The 26,082-nt window shown below is 43.1% G+C and overlaps 1 protein-coding gene across 2 annotated transcripts, besides 2 other annotated features; it reads left to right on the forward strand.

The window, feature by feature from the left end:
• Positions 3,725-4,024: an enhancer, noted in NCBI's record as "active region_18912". NCBI's record gives its function as "activates an Ori minimal core promoter by ATAC-STARR-seq in GM12878 lymphoblastoid cells {active_cell/tissue: GM12878}" and the evidence as "EXISTENCE:reporter gene assay evidence [ECO:0000049][PMID:35858748]".
• Positions 4,020-23,978, forward strand: APOL6 (apolipoprotein L6). 2 transcript variants are annotated; one of them, XM_011530392.4, is made up of 4 exons: positions 4,020-4,197; positions 9,178-9,294; positions 11,953-12,049; positions 14,189-23,978. In XM_011530392.4, the coding sequence occupies exons 3-4, from the start codon at positions 12,000-12,002 to the stop codon at positions 15,168-15,170; spliced, it is 1,032 nt and encodes a 343-aa protein (XP_011528694.1). In that variant the 5' UTR covers positions 4,020-4,197; positions 9,178-9,294; positions 11,953-11,999; the 3' UTR covers positions 15,171-23,978. The 2 variants fall into 2 exon arrangements, with proteins under 2 accessions (XP_011528694.1, NP_085144.1); NM_030641.4 differs by lacking the exon at positions 9,178-9,294.
• Positions 16,423-16,532: an enhancer, noted in NCBI's record as "active region_18913". NCBI's record gives its function as "activates an Ori minimal core promoter by ATAC-STARR-seq in GM12878 lymphoblastoid cells {active_cell/tissue: GM12878}" and the evidence as "EXISTENCE:reporter gene assay evidence [ECO:0000049][PMID:35858748]".
• Positions 23,979-26,082: the final 2,104 nt, after the last annotated feature.

Below are 26,082 nucleotides of genomic sequence, written 5' to 3' on the forward strand. Positions count from 1 at the left end.
TCATAGAAGGAGCATATGGATAAAATGCGATGATGAGTGAAATATTCCGAGCACGTGCTCCACATGTAACATTCTGCACATGGAAGTTCCCATCCCTCCAACCCAGGATGCCAGACATCTTCATTTTTAATCCAGGGTAGAAAGAAAGAGACATCCCCTCTCTCGCTCTCTCAGATCTCTCATGAAAGATGAATCCTTGGGGCTGGGCGCGGTGACTCATGCCTGTAATCCCAGCACTTTCGGAGGCCGAGGCGGGTGGATCACCTGAGGTCAGAAGTTCAAGACCAGCCTGGTCAACATGGTGAAACCCCGTCTCTACTAAATATACAAAAAAAATAGCCGGGGGTGGTGGTGGGCGCCTGTAATCCCAGCTACTCAGGAGGCTGAGGCAGGAGAATCGCTTGAACCAGGGAGGCGGATGTTGCACTGAGCCGATATCGTGCCATTGCACTCCAGCCTGGGCAACAAGAGTGAAACGTTGTCTCAAAAAAAAAAAAAAAAAAAAAAAGATGAGTCCTGTGTATACAAAAATGGTAATGATGGCCAGAGCACCTGGTGCGTGCATCAACCTTTACCATTGTCAAGATAACTCATTCCGCTGGGCATGATAGCTAACACCTATAATCCCAGAACTTTGGGAGGCCAAGGCGGGTGAATCACCTGAGGTCAGGAGTTCAAGACCAGCCTGGCCAACATGGCAAAACCCCATCTCTACTGAAAATACAAAAATTAGCCAGGCGTATTAGCACATGCCTGTAATCCCAGCTACTTGGAGACTGAGACAGGAGAATTGCTTGAACCTAGGAGGCAGAGGTTGCAGTGAGCCGAGATCGCACCACTGCACTCCAGCCTGGGCGACAGAGCGAGACTGTCTCAAAAAAACAAAACAAAACAAAAAACAAACGAACAAAAACCTTCCTCACAAGAACCCCGGGAAGGAGATGGGATGGAAGTGGGTGAGGGTTAGTTGCTGTACGCCAAGCAACAAGGGTGTGGCCATGCGAGGCCTGGCCCTTTTGGTGGTCCTGGGTTCAAGTTCAGTGCTCCACTCTCCCCTTGTAATGGCTGCTTCCCTGCTTCGCTCTGGCCTGGGCTCCCAGGATCCTGAAACTGCTTCCAGGCAAAGCAATGGAGGCCACGATAGAACTTTTGCTACATTTGGCAAATTGCAGTCTCAGGGCAGCATTTGCTCAAACTCTAGGCAACCTCCGCCTCCTAGGTTCAAACTCTCCCTAAATGCTGTAGCCAGAGAGAAGAAAAGAAATTTCTAGAATCCAAGAATTTCAGGGTCAAAGTGTGCTTCAAGGCCTTTCCCCCATCCCAGGACGGATGGTCCCTGCCTGTGCCAGGGGCCACTGGGCCGAGGCGTGATGAGCTCTCTGGGAGGCAGACAGCCTGAGCCCAGAGTGGGTTGGTTGTGGCTGCAACACAGAAAACCTGCAGCTCCTCAGAGAGGTGCCAAGGCAAACCAGAACCCAGGTGTCCAGGAGCCAGCAATGCCTGCTGGAAGGGTCACAAAGGACCCTCTTTGTGGGCCAGTGGAACCCCAGAGGGCCAGCACAAGCCCCTGCCCCCAGGTGCCATCTCCGAGGCATGCAAATTTCTTTCTTTTTTTTTTTTTTTTTTTTTGAGACAGGGTCTTGCTCTGTCACCCAGACTGGAGTGCAGTGGTGCAATCTCAGCTCACTGCAGCCTCAATGAGAGGCAAACTTTTCAGAAAACATAAAAAGCCCTGATAGAAAATTTGAACTTAAATTGCCTGAACATTCACCCCCAAATGAGAGACTTTACCCAAAGATGTGTGTGTGTGTGTGTGTGTGTGTGTGTTTGTTTGTTTGTTTTTTTGAGACAGAGTCTCGCTCTGTCGCCCAGGCTGGAGTGCAGTGGCACAATCTCGGCTCACTGCAACCTCCACCTCCCAGGTTCAAGCGATTCTCCTGCCTCAGCCTCCCGAGTAGCTGGGATTACAGGTGCCCGCCACCACACATAGCTAATTTTTGTATTTTTAGTAGAGACAGGGTTTCACCATGTTGGTCAGGCTGGCCTCAAACTCCTGACCTCAAGCGATCCACCTGCCTCAGCCTCCCAAAGTGCTGGCATTACAGGCGTGAGCCACCGCGCCCGGTCCGAGAGTGTGTTTTAAATCACAAGAGACTAAGGGGCCTTCAGGCAAGTTTGTTTCTTTTCAGCAGGTCTTGGGTCCCTTGAGGGAAGGGAAGTGGACTCTAGGAAATTAAGCGACTCCCTACTTTTGTTCATCTGAGCTATAGGGTGGATGTTTTCTGTCCCCTTACATAAGCAGCACTTCCTGCATTTGGCTACAGAACATTTTTCTCACATGGCATCTCTTGGGGCGATTGTTTCACAAGAGCCCTGGTGGTAAACACTGCCCCCATCCAATGGCCGGTCTGGCCCCTGAGACTCCCAGGACCGAGCAGTGACCACAACATCTGGGTCCGTTGCCAGGGAAAACAACAGGCAGGCCTGGGATGGCTCAGCGGCCCCAGCCAGGCAGCCAAGTCCTCCTCAAGGTCAGGCTGTGTTTAGCGTGTTCCCCAAGTGTGGGAGGCCAGGAGCAGGGGTGGGTTGTGGAATCCGGGATGCCACGGTTGGAAAGGCCCCTACAAGACCCAACTCAGCAGCCCTTAACCCCTCATTCCTGCTCGTAGGGCCCAGGGACAGGAGGTGGCCTCTATCACAGCAAAGCCAGGACTGGCTAGGTGGGCCGCACCTTCTGCAAAGCAACAGCCTCCAATGTGGTCTCAGCTAGGGGTGGTGACTGGGGACTTCTGGGCATATAAATACAAACAAACCACATGGCTTCTGATCACAATTTGACACAAATGCTAGAGAGACACAGATCTCAGCCCGTAACCTCACTGTGGGCTCATTCTTGTAGACACAGAGCCTAGGACTGGTTCTTAGCTGTGTAATCACAAACAACCCACAACTTCTAGAAGCCTGGGTTTCCTCTTCCTTAAAGTGGGAGACAGAGTATCACAATCCTATATCTCCAATCCTTGAGGCCAGATGCATGTCAGAGTTCCTGATTTGGGGGATTTTTAGAAAGGTAATGGGGTGCAGGTATCGTGTACTATGTAACCCACGCACCCGCAGCAGCCCTCCTCAGTCAAACATATTAATATTTCTGCAGTGACTGTAAATATTCAAATTAAGCAGGAGACATAAAAACCACAGGTGAATTCATGCCAGATCAGGTCAGGTTTTGCCACTAAATGAATAAATTATCATTTTTTTTTAAGTTTTCATTCTGAGGCCAGGTGCGGTGGCTCACGCCTGTAATCCCAGCACTTTGGGAGGCCTAGATGGATGGATCATTTGAGGTCAGCAGTTTGAGACCAGCCTGGCCAACATGGCAAAACCCCATCTCTACTAAAAATACAAAAATCAGCCGGGCGTGGTGGCAGGTGCCTGTAATCTCAGCTACTAGGGAGGCTGAGACAGGGGAATAGCTTGAACGTAGGAGGCGGAGGTTGCAGTGAGCCGAGATCGTGCCATTGCACTCCAGCCTGGGCAACAGAGCGAGACTTCATCTCAAAAAACAATAATAATAATAATAATAAAATAAAGTTTCCATTTTCAGAGGATTCTGCATTCAGAGTTATTAGCCCTTTAATGCTGTGCACCTCATAGGGTTGTTACCCACATCAGCGTCACGTAAGATGCTGTGGAGGAAAGCAGTTTCAGAACAATCAGTGATGACAGCTACTGTGAATCCACTATTCAACAGGCGCCCCATCGCTTGCTCATGGGCTCCTCACCATAGCTCTAAGCCACAGGAGCTATTTTCATACCCCATATAGGTCCATCCTATAACACAGCCAGGACAGAGACGAGAGACTCAGGCCTCCTGACTTGGATTCTGCTCTTTCACCTCCTTGTTCATCCAATTAGAGAAACTGGCAAAAAGGAAACTGAAAGTGACAGCTGGAGCCCATGATTTCCTGGAAGAGCCCTAGAGCTTTGCTTTTTCTCTCCTGCAGCACTTAACCGAAACCAGTTTTGCAATCAATTCCTGTTCAAAGGCCACCCTACTCTTCCTATCCGTCTTTCTCCAGCCCAGACACTCACAGCCCCCTGCCAGACCAGGGGACCTCGGAGAGGCAAGGACAGAGGTTCAGGATCTTCCTCTCCCTCGGGACCCAAGGCCACAAAGGAGAGCTCCGTGGAGAGAAGGTGAGACGGCGGGCAGAAGTCGGGGGAGGAGGGGGCTGCCGCTCTGGTCCCTGAAGGACAGAGCCCCCAAGGGGTTGGCTTTAGGCACCTGACTCAGGGAAAAGAGCTGCTGTGAAAGCAGCGGGGTTCAAATGCCAGCCAGAGCTTGAGGAGAGTCTGAGGATTAACTTCTCCTGTGTTAATCCTGGTAGGTTTCCCTCCCTTACAGCCATTTCAGGGTTAAATTGAAACATGCTAAAGCATGCGATGTGACTAGCCAAGTTGCATTTGTCCCTCCACTGCTGGGGATCCGAGGGCTTAGGCAGAGGGGACCTGGCCCTTAGAAAGCAGATGATTACATCAGCCACAGGCGTTTCCCTAGAAATTCAGTAGAGGAGTGGTTTAGGGGTGTCATCTCACAAGAAAAAAGGTGCTGGGTGAGTTGTCTAGAAACTGCAAAGCCAACCTACAGAGTTTTCTAGATTGTAGATTTATGTGAAGTTGTTTGGGGAAGAGGGTGAGGGAGTTTGTGATAAATATTAGGGCGACTAGGCCAGGCGCAGTGGCTCATGCCTGTAATCCCAGCATTTTGGGAGGCTAAGGCAAGCGGATTGCTTGAGCCCAAGAGTTTGAGACCAGCATGGGCAACATAGTGAGACCCCGTCTCTACAAAAAATCAAAAAATAGCTGGGCGTGATGGTGCACACCTGTAGTCCCAGCTACTTGGGAGGGTGCTGAGGTGGAAGGATCACTTGAACCCAGGAAGTCAAGAATGCAGTGAGCAGTGATCGCACCACTGCACTCCAGCCTGGGCAACAGAGTGAGACCCGGTCTCAAAAAAAAAAAAAAAAATCTAGGGAGGTTATCTTGAAGCTGTGTTTTCAAAGTAAGCAGATTTTTCTTACTTAGATTGTGTATCTGCAGAAGTTGGTTTTGTGGGGGAAGGCAGGTAAGGAAAGACTGTCATAAATATCCTGTAAGCTTTCAAATGAAAGTAAGTTCTCAAATCCTCTTCCAATAAACCTCTCACAAGCAAATCCTCTCGCAACCACCAAGAGCAGGTCAGAGGGGATGGAATGGGACCTGCTTAGATGAGTTTCCTGCTGTTACCTTTGCCCTGCATCCCATAGGACTAATGTAAAAAAATGAGAGAGGTATTGGCGGACGCTGGTAAAAAATGGGGTTCCAGACCAGAGTCTCTTACCCCCAGCAACCTTGTCATGTTCAACCAGGTGATCCCTGGTTGTGGGGGCTGTCCTCTGCATCGTAGGGTGCTTGGCAGCATCCCTGGCCTCTGCCCTCTACATACCAACAGCAGTACCCTCTCCAGCTGAGACCATCAAAAATGTTTCCAGATATTAGCAGTGTCCCTGAGGAGCAAACACGCCCTGTTTGGGACCAACTACTCCAGACTCTGCGTGGCTGGAATTGCACAGGCTTTCCTGCTTACTGTGTGACACTGGCCTCCCTATGTCTCAGTTTGCACCTCTGTAAAATGGGCATCATCTTAGCACCGATCTCACTGGGTCACTGTGTAAAGCAGGTAGATGTATGTCTGGTGAAAGTAAACTCTTAAAGGTGCCAAGCCCCCTAAACCAAACCTAGCTTCACATACCAAAGAGGGGAGAAGGTTTTTATCTTTGAAGCATTCATTCTTTTTCATAGACTACCCCAAAGAAATAACCAAACATGTAGACAGACGTCTATATAAGGATTTTAACCAAAAATTATAAATACAAAATTTTAAAATAACTGAAAACAACCCAAAGGTTCAACAGTGAGAGAGTTATTGAATGTGTAATGATACATTCGTAAAATGAAATGCGACATGGCTTCTATGTATCGCCTGGGGAACTACTAAGATACAATGTTAGGTGACAAGAATTCACACAAACTACATGAACAGCATGCATTTCCATATGGTGAGCGTAAGGTGGATTTTATAATTTATTTCTAAATTTTCAACCTTAAACTTGTATTCATGGCTATAAGTGAATGAATGAATGAATGGCTATAAATGAATGGCTATAAAAATTTGTGTCCTGGGCTGGGCATGGTGGCTCATGCCTGTAATCCCAGCACTTTGGGAGCCCGAGGTGGGTGGATCACCTGAGGTCAGGAGTTCAAGACCAGCCTGGCCAACCTTGTGAAACCCCATCTCTACTAAAAATACAAAAATTAGCCGGGTGTGTTAGTACGTGCCTGTAATCCCAGCTACTTGGTAGGCTGAAGCAGGAGAATCGCTTGAATCTGGGAGGTGGAGGTTGCAGTGAGCCAAGATCATGCCATTGTACTCCAGCCCGGGCAACAAGAGCAAAATTCAGTCTCAAAAAAAAAAAAAAATTTTTTTAAAAATAAAGAATTTGTGTCCCTTCAGAGTGTGTGAGGGAGGATGTTTTTTTCTAACTTTTTAGAAGTGGAAGGGAAGAGGATGAGAGAAGGGAGGATGAGCTGAGGGAGAAGCTATATCTAGGAAACAGCATTTCTGCCGTAAGCGCTGGACCAAGTACCAAATGTAGAGAAGAGATGCAAAGGAATGTATTGGCTTCCCTAGGGCTGCTGTCAGAAAGCACCACAAACCAGGTGGCTTCAAACAACAGACATTTAGTGTCTCACAGTTCTGGAGGCTGGAAGTCAAAAATCCCAGTGCCAGTAGGGCGCACTTCTGCTGCAGGCTCCAGGGAGACCATCTGTGCCTTTTGCAGCCTCGGTGGCTTCTGACAGCACGACTCTAATTTCTGCCTCTGTCTGCGTGCAGCCTTCTTTGCTGTGTCTCTCTCTGTCACCTCCTCTTCTTATAATGACATCAGTGATGGATTTCAGGGCCACCCTGAATCCAGGATAATTTCACCCGGAGAAATGTATACATGTGCCATGTTGGTGTGCTGCACCCATTAACTCATCATTTAACATTAGGTATAACTCCTAATGCTATCCCTCCCCACTCCCCCCACCCCACAACAGGCCCCGGTGTGTGACGTTCCCCTTCCTGTGTCCATGTGTTCTCATTGTTCAATTCCCACCTAGGAGTGAGAACATGCGGTGTTTGGTTTTTTGTCCTTGCGATAGTTTGCTGAGAATGATGGTTTCCAGCTTCATCCATGTCCCTACAAAGGACACGAACTCATCCTTTTTTATGGCTGCATAGTATTCCATGGTGTATATGTGCCACATTTTCTTAATCCAGTCTAGCATTGTTGGACATTTGGCTTGGTTCCAAGTCTTTGCTATTGTGAATAGTGCCGCAATAAACATATGTGTGCATGTGTTTTTATAGAAGCATGTTTTATAATCCTTTGAGTATATACCCAGTAATGGGATGGCTGGGTCAAATGGTATTTCTAGTTCTAGATCCCTGAGGAATCGCCACACTGACTTCCACAATGGTTGAGCTAGTTTACAGTCCAACCAACAGTGTAAAAGTGTTCCTATTTCTCCACATCCTCTCCAGCACCTGTTGTTTGCTGACTTTTTAATGATCGCCATTCTAACTGGTGTGAGATGGTATCTCATTGTGGTTTTGATTTGCATTTCTCTGATGGCCAGTGATGATGAGCATTTTTTCATGTGTCTTTTGGCTGCATAAATGTCTTGTTTTGAGAAGTGTCTGTTCATATCCTTCGCCCACTTTTTGATGGAGTTGTTTGTTTTTTTCTTGTAAATTTGTTTGAGTTCATGTAGATTCTGGATATTAGCCCTTTGTCAGATGAGTAGATTGCAAAAATTTTCTCCCATTCTGTAGGTTGCCTGTTCGCTCTGATGGTAGTTTCTTTTGCTGTGCAGAAACTCTTTAGTTTAATGAGATCCCTTTGTCAATTTTGGCTTTTGTTGCCGTTGCTTTTGGTGTTTTAGACATGAAGTCCTTGCCCATGCCTATGTCCTGAATGATATTGCCTAGGTTTTCTTCTAGGGTTTTTATGGTTTTAGGTCTAACATTTAAGTCTTTAATCCATCTTGAATTAATTTTTGTATAAGGTGTAAGGAAGGGATCCAGTTTCAGCTTTCTGCGTGTGGCTAGCCAGTTTTCCCAGCACCATTTATTAAACAGGGAATCATTTCCCCATTTCTTGTTTTTGTCAGGTTTGTCAAAGATCAGATAGTTGTAGATATGCGGCATTATTTCTGAGGGCTCTGTTCTGTTCCATTGGTCTATATCTCTGTTTTGGTACCAGTACCATGCTGTTTTGGTTACTGTAGCCTTGTAGTATAGTTTGAAGTCAGGTAGCGTGATGTCTCCAGCTTTGTTCTTTTGGCTTAGGATTGACTTGGCAATGTGGGCTCTTTTTTGGTTCCATATGAACTTTAAAGTAGTTTTTTCCAATTCTGTGAAGAAAGTCATTGGTAGCTTGATGGGGATGGCATTGAATCTATAAATTACCTTGGGCAGTATGGCCATTTTCATGATATTGATTCTTCCTACCCATGAGCATGGAATGTTCTTCCATTTGTTTGTATCCTCTTTTGTTTCATTGAGCAGTGGTTTGTAGTTCTCCTTGAAGAAGTCCTTCACATCCCTTGTAAGTTGGATTCCTAGGTATTTTATTCTCTTTGAAGCAATTGTGAATGGGAGTTCACTCATGATTTGGCTCTCTGTTTGTCTGTTATTGGTGTGTAAGAATGCTTGTGATTTTTGCACATTGATTTTGTATCCCGAGACTTTGCTGAAGTTGCCTATCAGCTTAAGGAGATTTTGGGCTGAGACAATGGGGTTTTCTAGATATACAATCATGTCATCTGCAAACAGGGACAATTTGACTTCCTCTTTTCCTAATTGAATGCCCTTTATTTCTTTCTCCTGCCTGATTGCCCTGGCAAGAACTTCCAACGCTATGTTGAATAGGAGTGGTGAGAGAGGGCATCCCTGTCTTGTGCCAGTTTTCAAAGGGAATGCTTCCAGTTTTTGCCCATTCAGTATGATATTGGCTGTGGGTTTGTCATAGATAGCTCTTATTATTTTGAGATACGTGGCAAGGACCTTCTTGCTGTGTTATCCCATGACAGAAGGCAGAAGGCAGAAGGGCAAGAGGGCGTGTGCGAGAGAGGTGAAGGAAGGAGGCTGAACTCTACTACTACCCTCAATACTCACACCAATTTACCTTCTTCTGGTCACCAAAATATGTGAGTTTTTTTCCCTACACCAAGCAATTCTCCACTTCTTTATGAGAACAAACTTGGCATCCTACAGTTTAACTCAATTCTGACACTATCTCCTTGGAGATACTATCAGATCCCCCAGGTTAAGGGCTCAGTCCCATAAGACTGCCCCTACTTCAGACACCAGTTGTAAGTGGTGGGTCCCCAGGTTGCCCACAACTTTTGTCCAACTTGGTGACACATGGAAGGTTTCCACAACTCCCTCCTCAGTTTCAATAATTTGCTAGAACAGCTTGCAAAACTCAGGGAAACACTTATTTACAATGACTAGTTTATTATAAAGGATCCAACTCAAGAATGGCCAGACGGAATTGATGCACAGGGCAAGATATGGGGGAAGAGACATGGAGTTCCCATGCCCTCTCTGGGCACACCACCCTCCAGGTACCTCCATGTGTTCACCAACCCAGAAGCTCTCTGAACCCTGTCCTTTTGGGTTTCTATGGAGGCTTCCTTACACAGGCATGATGGATTAAAGAAACTATGGGCCATTTGTGGTTAACTCAATCTCCCGTCTCTCTCCTCTCCTGGAACTCAAGGGGTAGGGCTGAATATTCCAACCCTCAAATCACATGGTTGTTTCCCCAGACAAGCAGCCCCCCATCCTTGGAGGCTTTCTAAAGTCACCTCATTAACATAAACTCGGGTGTGGCTAAAAGGGGTCGGTTATGGTTAAGAAAAGATGCTCTTTTCACCTTTACTGCTCTCATCGCTCAGGAAATTCCAAGGGTTTTAAGAGCCCTGTGCCAGAAATGGGGATAAGAACTCTCTCTCTCTCTCTCTCTATATATATATATATGTATATATACACACACACACATACACACACATATATATACACACGTATATGTAATTATATATCTATATATAATTATAAATCACAATATCACAACATATTATGTTCTTGGGAATACAATTTGTACAAAGGGGCCTTGTAAATTACTGCTTTGTTTGGTGAAAATGATCCTTTAATCATTACAGTCTATGTGGTCATAATTGTGAGAGAACAGAATAAGCTACCCCCAGATATGCCTCTTTGGCATAGGGATTATTGAGGCGAAGGCAATTAAGAAGCAGCAGATGCAGGAAGGTTCTCTGTCCTCTCTCTATTTGCCTAAAAGCAAGATCTAAATTTACAAAGGTCTTTCTATCAAGGAGAATAAAGGTTAACCACTGAGAACTTTAGACCCTTATAGGCCTGGAGATGGTACCAGAGGAAGCTGCGTAACAAAACTTACTGACTAGTTTCTTTCTATCCTTCATTTCCTATTTATTTGTCTACCCACAATTTGGTGGCCCTCAAGATGCAAAGTCTTTTTTCTTCATCTTGTCCCTTCTCTAAAATTGTATAGTTCTTTGTTGAAGGTGGCTATATAAGCAGGGAGTTCCAAGCCACTCCTTTGAGAATTATTTATTCCCTGGTGTCTCCTACATACACTTAAGAGGTACATATTAATCCACTCCTGTTTGTTTTTCTCTTATGAATCTGTCTTGGGTTACAAGGATCCTAGCTGAGAACTTAGAAGGGCAGAGGGAAAATTATTTTTTCCTCTCTTATAATATCCATCTAAGGAATCACTTACCCAGGTCAAGATGGAGAAAAGGAGATTTCCTTGTACTTCCTCCTCCCAGTCAATAATCGCACTACCCGAGAAGAAACCTCGATTCTGACTTCTACAACCAATTCATTTGCATATTATTGAGTTTCATATAAATGGAGCCATTTGTTTGATTTCTTTCACTCAATAATAATGTCTGTGAAATTATTCCATGTTGTTTGGGTATCAGTAGTTTTCAAAATTGTTATTGCTATGTAATATTTAACTATATAAAAAAACTATAATTTGTTTGTTTATTCTTCTGTTGATTGATGTATTTGAGTTGTTACCAGCCCTTGGCTATGTATGGGAGGAAAAGTAATTTTTTTCTCAACCCTCATAAGTTCTTAGCTGGAACAGACTCCTGTAACCCAAGACACATTAACGAGAGAAAACCAAGCAGAAGCGTATTAACATGTCTATTTCATATGGACATGGGAGAGATCCAGGGATTAAATAATTCTCAAAGAGGTAGCTTTGAATTCCAGCTTCAATACATCTCCAACAATGAACAGTACATTTTTAGAGAAGTAGCAAGACAATGGAAAAGGGTTTTGAGTCTCCAGCAGGAGCAACTTGTGGGAAAGTAAGTCAATGTCATCTTTGGTGATCAAACTTTATCCTTCTTGTTAGTGAGGAGACAAGGGACAGCTTTACCTTTGTCAATTTATGTCTTGCTTTTAGGCAAATAGAGGGAGGGTGGAGAACTTTTCTTGTACCCACTTCTTCTCAATTACATTTGGCTCAAAATAATCCTTATGCCAAAGTGGCATATTTTGGGATGGTGTATACTGCTACCCTCCAATATAGAGGTAAAAATGTATTGAACTGACTATTTCACTGTATGCATTTATTGTATGTAAGCTACACCTCAACATACAATTTTCAAATAATAGTTTGCAAATATTTAGTATGCTATGTGGTTGTTATTTTGATAGTACATAATCCAAAATCCCTCCACACCTGAATTTCATAAGGTTTCATCATATGTGCAGTAACGTTGTTTTTCTACATTCCTGACCAGAAAATCATTTGACTCCTGGGGACACAGATTTGCTGCCACAGAGGCTGATGGACAACCAGGCGGAGAGAGAAAGTGAGGCTGGTGTTGGTTTGCAAAGGTAATCCAAAGGGTGTAGTCCCCAGGGAGAGGGCTGATTCTGTTGAAATGCTGCAGGCATCCTCACGATAAGGAATACATGTGCTCTGATAGGATTAGCTGTTAAGTGGGCCTTATCTTACCGCTGGTCTCCATTATGCATATGAAAATCTGTTCCCCTAGGGAAAAAAATACTTCATGGAGCTAAAGTAAATATTTTGGAGAGCAAGTCAAGATTAAGTCAGGCGCATGGCTTTGGGCAATAGGACTCCAAAGACAAAAATTGCTCCACTCTGGGGCCTCATCTCTGCAACTGTCTTGAAGACAGGAACTCCATTTCTTCAGCTCATATATCACCAAGGAAGGAAGCCATTTGGTGTTAACAAATTAATGAATTTAAGCCCAGTTGTCTGTAAATCAGCAGACGTAGCACCACCGGCCCCCTGCACAATGTGTGCAAGTAACAAATATTTGCTGAGTGAATTAGACGAACTCTATGTGTAATATGTCATGGAACTGGACTGAAATGTTATCCAATGCCAGTAGACATCACCAGCTGATACAGGATTCACTGGAGCAGAGGTGTTCACATGTGAGACGCTTGGTTTAATTAAGAAACACATGAAGTCAAGCTTCTGTTAGTTATCAACCATGCTAAAACCAAAAACTTTACAGTTCATACACAGTGGCGTTGTTGATCTTTGCAGCTACATATCTATTTGCTGTTTCTTTTTGTCTAGCATACCTTGAGGAAACACAGAGATCAGGGTGGGCTAACCTATGGCATCTTTTATGTCTGGGGTTCTTTGTCAGGGCCACCCCGCTTGCCTTCATCCCACCCCTTCCCCATTGCAAGCCCTGGTGACCTTCTGCTCTGTTAACTGATTTACACCTGTGGATTAATAGATAATTGTGCCTAAATTTATTAATTCATTAACACTTAAAACATATGCTCGATGGTATATTTAGTTTCTAATCTTTCCCACTGAGGAATTGTGTGCGTGTGTGTGTGGAAAGAGAGATTTAAAGATAAATACATTTATGGACATACATATACTTCAATGAGGAGGCCCTGACATCAACTGACAGGTGAGAGGAAAGGCAGAAAGCACCAAGTTTAGGACTCAGAGCCCACCCAATGCTCCATCTTTACCTTGCATGTTCCTTTGGGAGTGTCCTCTTTTCTCTCTGGGCTTGAGGCCCCCCACTGAATCATAAAGGAGGTGGCCCAGATCCTCTCCAGGCCTCCCTCCAGCTCTGATGTTCTTCTTTGGGCCAGGGCATCTGTTATCACCAGGCCTCCTCGGCTCACCCTGAAGGAAATGCACAAATGGCACCTTGCATGAGAAAATGCCCCAAGCAGCAGGCTTTGCTCTCACCCTGATGCAGCTCTGCCTTGAAGGTCAAAGCCAACTGGCCTGGCAAAGATCCCTTCGTACTTCATCCTGTAAAATGTTGGAGGAAGAGGGGCCTAGGTCTCTTTGTCCCAAACTTCTTCCATGAAGGACTAATCCCATCTGCTTGAAGGGTCAAGTAAAGCTGACCAAGAGCAAGGAGAGCATTCAGGACATGAATAATAATTTATCTCAACTCTCAATGTGCAACTCCTGATAGAAGCAAAGACACACCCCAGAGTAACCAGATTCGAGGTCATTAGAGTGGAGGATGTATGATGCAATATGGCCCCCTCCACCCTCCTACTCACTTCTACACATCTGGGACGCTCATCCCCTGCCCACCACCTTGTCTTCTCTTTCTCCTACTTTTCCCAGAACTCTCCCGCCATTGTTCCCAAGTTCTTTATCTTGAGTGGGGTTTTAACATTTCCCCACTGCCCCTCCTCTGCAGCAGTGCTGTGCTTTCTCTGAACAAGGCTGAAAACATACCTCAGGACTTAATTTTCCTTCCCCATTCCTTGACCAAGGCTGGGGTGATTCACATTTGTCCTTCCACATGCCCCTCTTATGTGTTTCTTTTTTCCATGGAACCAGTAGTTTTCAGCGAAGGCTGAACTACTCTACAATGCTCTAGGACTTTTCAGGGGATTTTGTAGGGAGGTACAGGGAGGATTCGAAGCTGAGAGTGGCAAGAATATCCAAGAGCCACATGGGTTTTCCCATCTGGGAAGCTGAAGCAAAATCTTTATTTCATTTCTCCTCAGGGATGAGGATGACGCTCCTCTGTGTGAAGACGTGGAGCTACAAGACGGAGATCTGTCCCCCGAAGAAAAAATATTTTTGAGAGAATTTCCCAGATTGAAAGAAGATCTGAAAGGGAACATTGACAAGCTCCGTGCCCTCGCAGACGATATTGACAAAACCCACAAGAAATTCACCAAGGCTAACATGGTGGCCACCTCTACTGCTGTCATCTCTGGAGTGATGAGCCTCCTGGGTTTAGCCCTTGCCCCAGCAACAGGAGGAGGAAGCCTGCTGCTCTCCACCGCTGGTCAAGGTTTGGCAACAGCAGCTGGGGTCACCAGCATCGTGAGTGGTACGTTGGAACGCTCCAAAAATAAAGAAGCCCAAGCACGGGCGGAAGACATACTGCCCACCTACGACCAAGAGGACAGGGAGGATGAGGAAGAGAAGGCAGACTATGTCACAGCTGCTGGAAAGATTATCTATAATCTTAGAAACACCTTGAAGTATGCCAAGAAAAACGTCCGTGCATTTTGGAAACTCAGAGCCAACCCACGCTTGGCCAATGCTACCAAGCGTCTTCTGACCACTGGCCAAGTCTCCTCCCGGAGCCGCGTGCAGGTGCAAAAGGCCTTTGCGGGAACAACACTGGCGATGACCAAAAATGCTCGCGTGCTGGGAGGTGTGATGTCCGCCTTCTCCCTTGGCTATGACTTGGCCACTCTCTCAAAGGAATGGAAGCACCTGAAGGAAGGAGCAAGGACAAAGTTTGCGGAAGAGTTGAGAGCCAAGGCCTTGGAGCTGGAGAGGAAACTCACAGAACTCACCCAGCTCTACAAGAGCTTGCAGCAGAAAGTGAGGTCAAGGGCCAGAGGGGTGGGGAAGGATTTAACTGGGACCTGCGAAACCGAGGCTTACTGGAAGGAGTTAAGGGAGCATGTGTGGATGTGGCTGTGGCTGTGTGTGTGTCTGTGTGTCTGTGTGTATGTACAGTTTACATGAATGTTCCTCAGGACATGGCATACAATGGCCTTGGAGGTCCAAATAATATCAAGTACATCTTGGAGATGAGGGTGCCTGTCCTGGACAGACCTCGGCATGCCTTCTGTTTCTCCTTCAATGCTCCTTAAGGCCTATGTGCTGGGAAAAGGGTCTTCCCTGTTTGTTTGTTTGTTTGTTTGTTTGTTTGTTTTGAGACAGGGTCTCTGTTGCCCAGGCTGGAGTGCAGTGGCGTAATCTCGGCTCACTGCAACCTCTGCCTCCTGAGTGCAAGCAAGTCTCCTGCCTCAGCCTCCCAAGTAGCTGGGATTACAGGCACGCACCACCACGCCCAGCTAATTTTGGTATTTTTTTGTAGAGACAGGGTTTCACCATTTTGGCCAGGCTGGTCTCGAATTCCTGACCTCAAGTGATCCACCCACCTTGGCCTCCCAAAATGCTGGGATTACAAGCGTGAGCTACCCTGCCCAGCCGGGTCTTCCCAGTTTTAACAAAGAGGTCACAGAGCCACAGGCGGAGTTAGGAACTAAATTGTCTCCTCCTCCCAATTCATATGTTGAAGTCCTAAACCAAAATGTGGCTGTATTTAGAGATGGACCCTTTGGGAGGTAATTAGGGTTGACTGAGGCCATAGGGTGAGGTCCTAACCCGATGGAATTGACTTCTTTATAAGAGGAGGAGGAAATACAAGAGGGCCTCCCCACCCCTGCTGCACACCTACACTGAAGGAAGGCTATTTGCAGATGCAGCAAGAAGGCAGCCATCTGCAAGGCAGAAGAAGAGAGCCCTCACCAGGAACTGAATAAGTCAGTCAGTCTGGGACTTCCAGCCTCTAGAACTGTGAAACAATAAATTTCTGTGGTGTAAGCAACTCAATCTATAGTAGTTTGTTACTATTTTGTTATAGCAACCAAAGATGACTAAGCCAGACAGGTTATGTCACTCGCCAAGTGTCTTAGTCTGTTTGTGCTGCTATAACAAAATACCTTAGACTGGGTAATTTACAAACAACAGAGATGTATCCAGAGATCCACAGTTCTGGAGGCTGAGAAGTCTAAAATCAAGGCACCAGCAGATTCCACATCTCGTGAAGGCTCACTCTCTGCTTCACAGATGGCACTGTCTTGCTGTGTTCTCACATGGCAGAAGGGGCAAACAAGCCCCCCTGGGCCTCTTTTATAAAGGCACTAACTCTATGCCTAAAGGCAGGGCCCTCATGACTCTATCACCTACCAAAAGGCTCCACTTCTTTATACTATTGGAGGGGTAGAAGGAACTTCCTTTCTAGACCTTGAAGGTTTAAGAATTTGAATCTATAAAACAAGCTGACAATAGACAGATTAACAGGAGAAAAAGCATATACATTTTTTAATGTGGGCCAGATGGCAGAAGCTTAAATAACACCCCAAGCTACAGGAAGTGAGGCCTCTGATGGGGAGGTAGTGACACAGGCTGTGGGAGGGGGTAGGGGGAGGAAGTCTGTGGTGAGCAAAGTTTGCCTTATTACACTGATAAAGTGTAATTACACTAATAAAGCTGGATCACCTGAGGTTAGGAGTTTGAGAACAGCCTGGCCAACATGGCAAAACCCTGTCTCTACTATAAATACAAAAATTAGCCAGGTGTAGTGGCAGGGCACTTGTAATCCTATCTACTCGGGAGGCTGAGGCAGGAGAATCGCTTGAACCCAGGCTGTAAAGGTTGCAGTGAGCCAAGATCATGCCACTGCACTCCAGTCTGGGTGTCAGAATGAGACCCCATCTCAAAAAAAAAAAAAAAAAAAAAAAAGAAGAAGAATACAGTCATGTATCTCTTGGTGACAGGGACGCATTCTGATAAATGTGTCATTAGGCAATTGCATTGTAGTGTGATTATCACAGATTGTACTTATACAAAACTTAGATGGCATAGCCTACTGCATACCTAGGCTATATGGGAGAGCCTATTGCTCCCAGGCTACGCACCTGTACAGCATGTGACTACTGAATACTATAGGCAATTGCAGCACAATGGGAAATATTTGTGTATCTAAACATATGTAAACAGAGAAAAAGGAAAGTAAAAATATGGCATAAAAGATAAGAATTGGCTCTCCTGTACAGGGCACTTACTACGAATGGAGCTTGCAGGGCTGAGAGTTGCTCCAGATGAGTCAGTGAGTGGTGAATGAATGTGAAGGCCTAGGGCATTACTGTATACTACTGTAGGCTTTATAAACACAGCACACTTAGGGTACACAAAATGCATATTAAAACATTTTCTTCCTTCAGTATATTAGGCAATAGGAATTTTTCAAGTCCACTATAAATCTTATCAAACCATGGTTGTATATGCAGTTGACCGAAACATTGTTATTGGACACATAACTATAGTTGAAAGAATAAGCAAAAAGTCTATCTAGGTGTGCTGTCTTGAGCAACTTTTAATTATTCTCCTGTCCTGCAATATGAGTTAATCTTCTCTGATCGATGTAGATTCCAGGAAGGGGTGTCCAGGACAATTACCTTCCTTCTGGAGAAACTTCCCTTAATCAAATAAGAGAACTTCAAAGAAAATCCCTCCCTGTGCTTTGGAAGGGAAGGGAGGTGGGCAGCAGTGGGTCAGAGATAGACCTTTGTTCTCTTATTTCTGAGGCCCTTCAGTCTCCTTTATTCAAAGCACTCAGCATGCCAAAGCACCCTATTTTAGGGTATCTTTTTCTGAGCCCTAAACACTGTGTTGGGGATGTCAACTGTGACAGGAAAATATCTTGGGGCCCCAGAATCACTAAGGAAAACTCAAGCTTAGGGAAACTTCTTAGGGCAAACCCACCTCCCACTCTATTCAAAGTTATCTCTCTGCTCACTGAGATAGATACATATCTGATTGCCTCCTTTGGAAAGGCTAATCAGAAACTCAAAAGAATGCAACTGTTTGTGTCTCACCTATCTGTGACCTGGAAGCTCCCTCCCCACTGAACCAATGTTCTTCTTACATATATTGATTAATGTCTTATGTCTCCCTAAAATGTATAAAACCAAGGTATGCCCCAACCATCTTGGCCACATGTCATCAGGACTTCCTGAGTCTGTGTCACAGTGTGTCCTCAACCTTGGCAAAATAAACTTTCTAAATTAACTGAGACCTGTCTCGGATTTTCTGGGTTCACATTTTGGAAACCATGAATGGATTCTGGGTGGAGATGCCCCTGACCCTTGACAAATCTATCGGTGCTTGGTACCAGCATGAGCTAACTTTATGGCTCAAACCAATAGGACAATTTGCTGAGGTCTGAGAGGACTCCCTCCAGAAAATCCCTGATCTCTTAAAATTTGGTAGAGATCGGAAGTTTATTTTGCTGTACAACACCTCTTTTTTTGGAGTTTTACTTGCTCCCAACAAGGAAGGCAAGTTTTCCTGCTTTCATGATGATGGAAGGCAGGTGATGTTTTTATGGAGTTTCAGCTTTCTTCCAATGCACTTAGAGCACTCAGAAATTGTATAATTTGTGTGACCATTGTTAGTTTTGCTTAACTGTTTTGTTGTTTGTTTCTGTCTTAGTCAAATCTGAAGGGGAACCCTAAATTACGGGGTCAAGGACTCTGAAGTGGTAGGAAAACAGCCAGCTTAAAAAACTTTTTTTAAATTTTAATTACTATAGGGGCTTTATTTACATAACACAGCCAGCTTTTTGCTAGCCAGACCAAACTCAAAGAGCAATGGCTGTACTTCTGAAATAGCAACACTTTGTCCTAGCTGAGATTTGGTAATAAGATTTTTTTTTTAAGTTTTTAAAGAAGCTCAGTGGTTGAAAGTCTGCTTAACTGAAACAGTAACATCCATGATGTGTGTTTTGTGCATGTTTGTATTTGAAAGGCCTTCATGTTTTTGTTTCTTGTTTGTTTTTCTCTCCTAAGACCTTGTCTTTTTTTTGTAGCAAAAGTTTTTTTTTTTTTTTTCCTTTTACTTCTCAGTTGACTGAATTCTGTTTTCACCGGATTTTTTGACTAAAATAGCTATTGCAACAGAGGCTACTCTTGGGTTAAGGAAGAATGTAGTTTCGTTTTATGTTTAATATCGCTCAAAGAAAAATAAAAGCATCTCCCTCTAACACCACCAGACTTTTCCTCTCTGTACCTTATCATGTAAATTTTGCTATTTGATTTTCACCTGGGTTGTTTCCTTTAATGTGCAAAAATTTAAGGCTATTTAGCTGACAACTGCCTAGGGTTGTAAAACAGGTTATCAAGAATCTGAAAGTCTAAGATAGGAAAAAAAAGTGGGGGGGCATTATAAATCTATAAAATGTACTTCTATTGGCATGCCTAATACGTCTTTATATGTATGTATGTGTTGTGTACACGATGTTTTAGTGCTAAAAATATGTAAAAGAGCTCTACTTGGCTTAAAGAAAAATAAAAGTGCTTAAATCAGATACTAAAAAAGAAAAGGCTAGTCAAATGCTTTTTCAAATTTATGTAACTTAAGTAAAATCTTTAATAAATAAAGTAGCTTTAAAATTATTGGTAAAGTAGTATTAGAAATGTCTTAAGAATTGCCAGCATACATTTTTGTTTGCATTATATTAATCAAACAGTTTTATACTTATCCCTGCCAAATACCAGAAGGTGTCAAAATTTGGCATAGGGGTTATAAAACTATAAACCCAGCCCAAAACAGAATGATCTTTGCTTGTGTAATTTTTAATAAATAAGACATTGATATGGGTTTAATGAAAACAGCTGCATCTTGAATTTAGTAAGATTACCATAACTTCTAATCCTGTGGCTTTAGGCAGTTTAGTCCACAGACAATAAGGAGGTTTGTTTTGGGAAAGGACTGTTATTGTCATTGTTTCGAAGCTGAACTTAAACTAGGTTCCTCCCAAAGTTCATTCGGCCTATGCCCAGGAATGAACAAGGACAGCTTGGAAGTTAAGAGCAAGGTGGAGTCAGTTAGGTCAAATCGTTTTTCACTGTCTCAGTTGTAATTTTGCAATGGAAGTTTCATAACTTTAAATCATGACTATCACAGTTTTTATAAATAATCTAGGTAAACAATTAATAAAATAACTAGGTAAATGTAATGGGATAAATACTTATAGACCAACTGGACATAATTTAGAATATAAAGTCATATTAAATTAAATAATAGATAATTTATTATTTGGGTATTTTCCAATAAATATATCTTGTAGGAAAACATTGTTGCTTAAAAAAAAGTGTGTCCTTTTTTAAAAAAATGGTGAACAAGTTTTGTCTAATTCAAAGCTTATTAAAAGGTTATATATAAAACAAGGTAAAAGGAACCAGAAAAGAAAAAAAATGTAAATAAAGTTATAAAAATAAAGAATTTTTTCAAGGTTAAAAAGCTGAAAAAGAAATAATTTTATATAAGAAAGAATTTTATATGGTAAATTTAGTCCTAAAATAAAATAACTGGTTGTTTAACAAGGAGGGATGTTCAGGACAAACCAGAAAGTCCAAGCATGTCATGAACATTGGTGTAAGTCATGATAAGATTTTATATATATATATACACACACACACACACACCCCAAAAGCTTTTATATAATCAAGTTGTCATATTATTATTAAGTTTTGGTTTGCTTAGGGAAGAAAGAGCTAATTTTTAAAAAATCAAGGTTATTACATCCATGTATCTTCCTGTGTATGCTTTTAAAGTCCTTGTAACATTGAGTTACAGGGCTTTAACTCCTGTGTCTGAAAAATCACAAACACTGATGACAATCAAAGCCTCATCTTAAGGCCCCGTAGAAGATGCCAATCAAAATAAACTGCATTCCTGAGGCACTAGGCAAGAAATTAAAGCTATTCAACTCCTCAAGGCCCAGGGACTATTGCGGAAGAGGTGGGCGCGTAAGATTGTAAGGGCCGATTTTGAAAGATCCAGTAAGTTCAGTTTCTCTATGAACTAATCATTCAAGTCAAAGGCACACTGATGCAAAATCAGTATATGGACCCCTGTGTCTGATTAGCAAGGTTTTCTTGAAGCATTAACCAACTCCTTCATAAAGGTTATAAAAGGCTTATGGAAGTTATATTTTATAATCAAGATTAAATCTTATAGTTTGTTTACAAAATTTTGAAAATCAAATGTGATTGGCTTCAGGCTGTTTTTATTAGGGCTTCTTGTTTAGAAAGTTAAGTCACCTCTCTCAAAGAATGAAGGTTTTTGCTTTTTTTGAAATCCTTGAATTATCACTTGGATTAAATAAATGACTTTACGATGACCTGTAATTTTATTTTGTAATGTCAAGTGTTTTAAACCTTTTGTATTTGACAAGCTTTCCAAAATCAAATTATAAATTATGTATTTTTCTAACCTAATTAATCCTTTAAGATCTTAGTTTCCCTAAAGTCCTAAAATGACATAATTTGGCTTATTTGGTATAAAAATTATATAGGAAGCATTGTCAAATGTGAAATGGTGTTTGGTTTTCTTTGGGCTGTATTTGTATAAATATGTTATTGGTGTATGTTCCAAAATTATGTGAAACTCCTATAATTCTAATATAACTTAGTGTACATTATCAGTAATAATCATAATTGTTATATTAAAATTATTGTGTGCCACAGAGGTAAAAAATTTCCTTGTCAGTTTTGTCTTTTGACTATGGCTGCCTTAAAACTTTTTTCTTCCATGCACAATTGTTGTTTTGGTCCTCTTTTTTAAATATATTTTTATTATTATTTTTGAGATGGGGACTCACTCTGTTGCCCAGGCTGGAGTGCAGCGGCACGATCTTGGCTCACTGCAACTGCCACCTCCCAGGTTCAAGCGGTTCTCCTGCCTCAGCCTCCCGAGTAGCTGGGATTACAGGCATACACCACCATGCCCAGCTAATTTTTTTGTATTTTCAGTAGAGATGGGGTTTCACCATGTTGGCCAGGCTGGTCTTGAACTCCTGACCTCAGGTGATCAGCCCACCTTGGCCTCTCAAAGTGCTGAAATTACAGATGTGAGCCACACACCTGGCCTATTTTGGTCCTCTTTAGAAGGTGGTTTTATAATCAGCTGTAAAACTCCAACAGGTGCTCTTACATGCAGGTTTCTGATAACTTTGGAGATTGTGACATCAGAATAGAGGGAAAAGTTTCAGGACTCATGGAGAGCTAAAATGTTCATGAGTATCAAGCAGAACAGGAATTAACTGCATAGACTGAACCAATCTTTTTGACTTTTTGCTTAAAATGTTTGCTGATCCTTTGTTTTGTGTTTCAGTCTTAAAACTTTTCTTTTGAGCTATTGACAGCTTTTAACAATTTAGTATACTCCTATGACAAAATTTGGAGCATATTTGTTTCTCTCTACCTGATTTCTCCAGAATTCAGAAACTATTTGTAAGTATTCTTAACTTATGGTGATACAGTTATTTGCATAAGTGCAATAAGAATCTGTTCTAATTTGTAACAGGACACGATTGGAGAAATTGGTTGTTTTACTAAGACTTTGACTGGAATGGTGTGCTTTTCTTTAAGGAATCAAACTTGACTTATGGAACCAATAAAGTCCTTGGAAAAACTGGCCCCATATTTTGTGTACACAGTCTCCGTACAAGATTTCTGACCTGTAGTAAGTAAAGAATGTCACTTTCTGACAGGCACATAAGCCCCAGGTTTACCTCAGAACCTCAAGAGGAGAGGAAATTCACCCAATTTATAAGTATTTGATGGCACAAATCCATGGCTGGGCATGGCTTTAAGAAAGTCTTATCTGAGATTCCTCCTGTGGAACAAAGTTAATTGGTTCCAGAGATTCAAAGCCAGAGTTGCTGTCAGTTCATTGGTAGAGATGCCATCACTGGGCAAGTGTTCTGAAAACATCTTATCTGAATAACAGCAGTCCTGGAGAACATCTAGGGATCTAGCAAAGCGAGAGATACATGAAGGACATAAAAACGTTTTTAGAAAGTCCTTGGAAACAGTTCTCATTTCAGACATGTAAGCATGAGCTAGGATGAAAAGTGATTTCATCCTGGTATCTGCAATTTTCACATTCATTAGGTTTCAACATATAAACTTTCAGGGGACACAGACATTCAGACTATAGCACCAAGCTGTAGAAGCTACATAGTTGTAGACCAGGGTCAGCAACCCAAGAAGCCTGACTTCCAAGCTGTGCTTTTAACTTCCCCACCATGTTGCACCTAAAGCTTTGGAGTTTTCCTGTGATTAGTGTTTTTGGTGTTGTTTTATTTTTTTTCTTACAGGAACTCTTGCAAGAAGAAAGGACTATGAGTTCAACTTTAGAGGGAGCCATGGGGACTAAACAAAATTCTGAGGCCCCCTCAACCATCTAAATGGACTTCCTTCTGGGCCAGGACACTCGAAAATTAAACCTGAAAGACTGGTTCAGGCCATGATGGGAAGTGGGAGTCGAACATGCCTCATCATACCCTCCAGCATTAACATCAACACAGACCTTAAGGCTGATAAGAAGCATTTACAATCTATTCTCTCTGAAGTCTTCTACCTGGAGGCTTCATCTGCATGATAAAACTTTGGTCTCCACAACCTCTTACAACCCAGGCATTCCTTTCTATCGATAATTACTCTTTCAACCAATTGCCAATCAGAAAATTGTTATATCTACCTATAATCTAGAAGCCCCCACATCAAGTTGTTTTGCCTTTCTGGACAGGACCAATGTATATCTTAAATGTATTTGATTGATCTCTCATGTCTCCCTAAAATGTATAAAACCACGCTGTTCCCCGACCACCTGGAGCACATGTTCTCAGGGTCTCCTGAGGGCTGTGTCACAGGCCATGTTCACTTACATTTGGCTCAGAATAAATCTCTTCAAATATTTTACAGAGTTTAACTCTTTTTGTCAACACAAAGGTGGGCTTTTAACTACCCCAGGGGCCTCTGAATGGGGTTACAGGGGACCAGGGCAGGGCTGGCAAGGCTGGCAGAGGAGAAACCCAGAGACTTACCAAATGGGAGGTCCAAGTAGGTCCCTTAGACTTGGGAGGGACAAGTCTACCTAAGAGGGCACTAGCAGCCCTCACTAGTGAGTGTTGTAATGGTCCTCCTGCCCCCCATCTCCATCCTCATTCCTTCGCTGTAACTCAGTCTCTCTGCTGTTTCAGTTCCCCGTTTGTCAGAGGCGTTTGAACCAGAGCAACTCCATCTTGAATAGGGGCTGGGTAAAATAAGGCTGAGACCTCCTGGGCTGCATTCCCAGGAGGTTAAGGCGTTCTAAGCCACAGGATGAGATAGGAGGTCAGCAAAATACAGATAATAAAGACCTTACTGATAAAATAGGTTGCAATAAAGAAGCTGGCTAAAACCCACCAAAACTGAGATGACGATAAGAGTGACCTCTGTTTATCCTCACTGCTACACTACCATTAGAGCCATGACAGTTTACGATGCCATGGCAATGTCAAGAAGTCATCCTATATGGTCTCAAAAGGGGAGGCATGAATAATCCACCCCTTGTTTGGCATATAATCAAGAAATAACCATAAAAATGGGCAACCGGTAGCCCTCAGGGATGCTCTATGGAGTAGACATTCTTTTATTCCTCTACTTTCTTAATAAACTTGCTTTTGCTTTACGTACTTGCCCTGAATTCTTTCTTGTGCGAGATCCAAAAACCCTTTCTTGGGGTCTGGATTGGGACCCCTTTCCTGTAACATCTTTCTGGCAACCACAGAAGGGACTACAGTGCAGAAACCCTCAACCCAAAGGCTAACTTTGAGTAAGTGATAGGGTCCTGTAACATCTTTCTGGCAAACCCAAAAGGACAATACTGAAGAAACCTCCCAATGCAAAGGAAATAGACTACATCATTGATAGGCCGACCTTGGGCAAGTGGTGGGGTACCCAGGTAAAAGATGGGATTGGGTTAGAGGCCCAATTTAGGGAAGTTTGGGTCTCTGCTAAGACAGACTGGGTTAAAGGCCCCTCTTAATAAATGGCAAGGATGCTTGACCAAACTTGGTTTAGAGGGCCAACTTAGGAGGGTTAGAGTCCTTCCTAAGATTTAAGGGGTTAGAGGCCCCTCTCAGTAAAGTCCCTCATGGTTAAGAACGGGTTTGGCACTAAGGGATGTTAACTGCCATTCTCTTTGGATTAATCTGTGTTGCACTCTTTGCTGATGGCTATGGGTGACAGGATTAGGCATGTGATCCTGTGATCACGGGACATGAGGAGCTTTTTCTTCCCTAAAAGGGGAAACTTCAGAGCTGCTGGGCCTGCTGGAAAAGATCCCTTCTCAACTGACAAGTGACCGCCTGAACTTTTGATTCAGTGTCTGCTGCAATGGGCAGGTCTTTCTCTGGTCTCCCTGAGCGCCTTGCCTTCCCCACCCTGCCATAAGCAGTGCTTTTCTCCCTTCCCTTTCCTCTCTCTCTCTGTGCAAACTGGTCGAAGGAATGGTAAAAATCACTGTTTATCTCCTATAAACTTTTGATTAATGGGAGAAAGGATTCACGAGGCTAATCTTAAGCTGTAGTGAATCTGGCGTGTTTTGTGTGTCTTTCTATATTGTTCTGTCACCAAGAGGGGTACCTTAGGATAAAACATGGGCTTAGGACACCTGTAAGCCCATTTTCAGATGGCCCAGCAAACTGGAAAGTTACAAACTTTTCTGCAGGTCCCTGAAAAAAATTGAATGAGGTTTCCTTCTTGTCTTGTATGTCCTTGGGAACTTGACCTTATAACCATGTGGCTGTGCTTTCTTTTTTCACAATGGTGACCTGGATTCAGGGTCCAATTCCTGGCTTAGGGGATGAGTCCTTTATCTTCTGTCTGTCTGTGTATTTATATGGGTTGTGTGTGTGATGTTTATATATGAAGGAGGTTTGATTAATTTGGTTTAATAATAATAAGAGCTTAAATCAAATATTTTGTCAGAAAATTAAAAAGTATAATGCCTTTTATTTAGTTCGTGTAACTTTAAC

The sequence above is a fragment of the Homo sapiens genome, chromosome 22 (assembly GCF_000001405.40).
Source record: "Homo sapiens chromosome 22, GRCh38.p14 Primary Assembly".
NCBI lineage: Eukaryota > Metazoa > Chordata > Mammalia > Primates > Hominidae > Homo > Homo sapiens.

Coding starts and splice junctions, on each gene's coding strand:
- APOL6 (XM_011530392.4), top strand. CDS start 12,000: ATGGACAACCAGGCGGAGAGAGAAAGTGAGGCTGGTGTTGGTTTGCAA. Junction 12,050..14,188: donor GCTGGTGTTGGTTTGCAAAG/GTAATCCAAAGG, acceptor ATTTCTCCTCAG/GGATGAGGATGACGCTCCTC.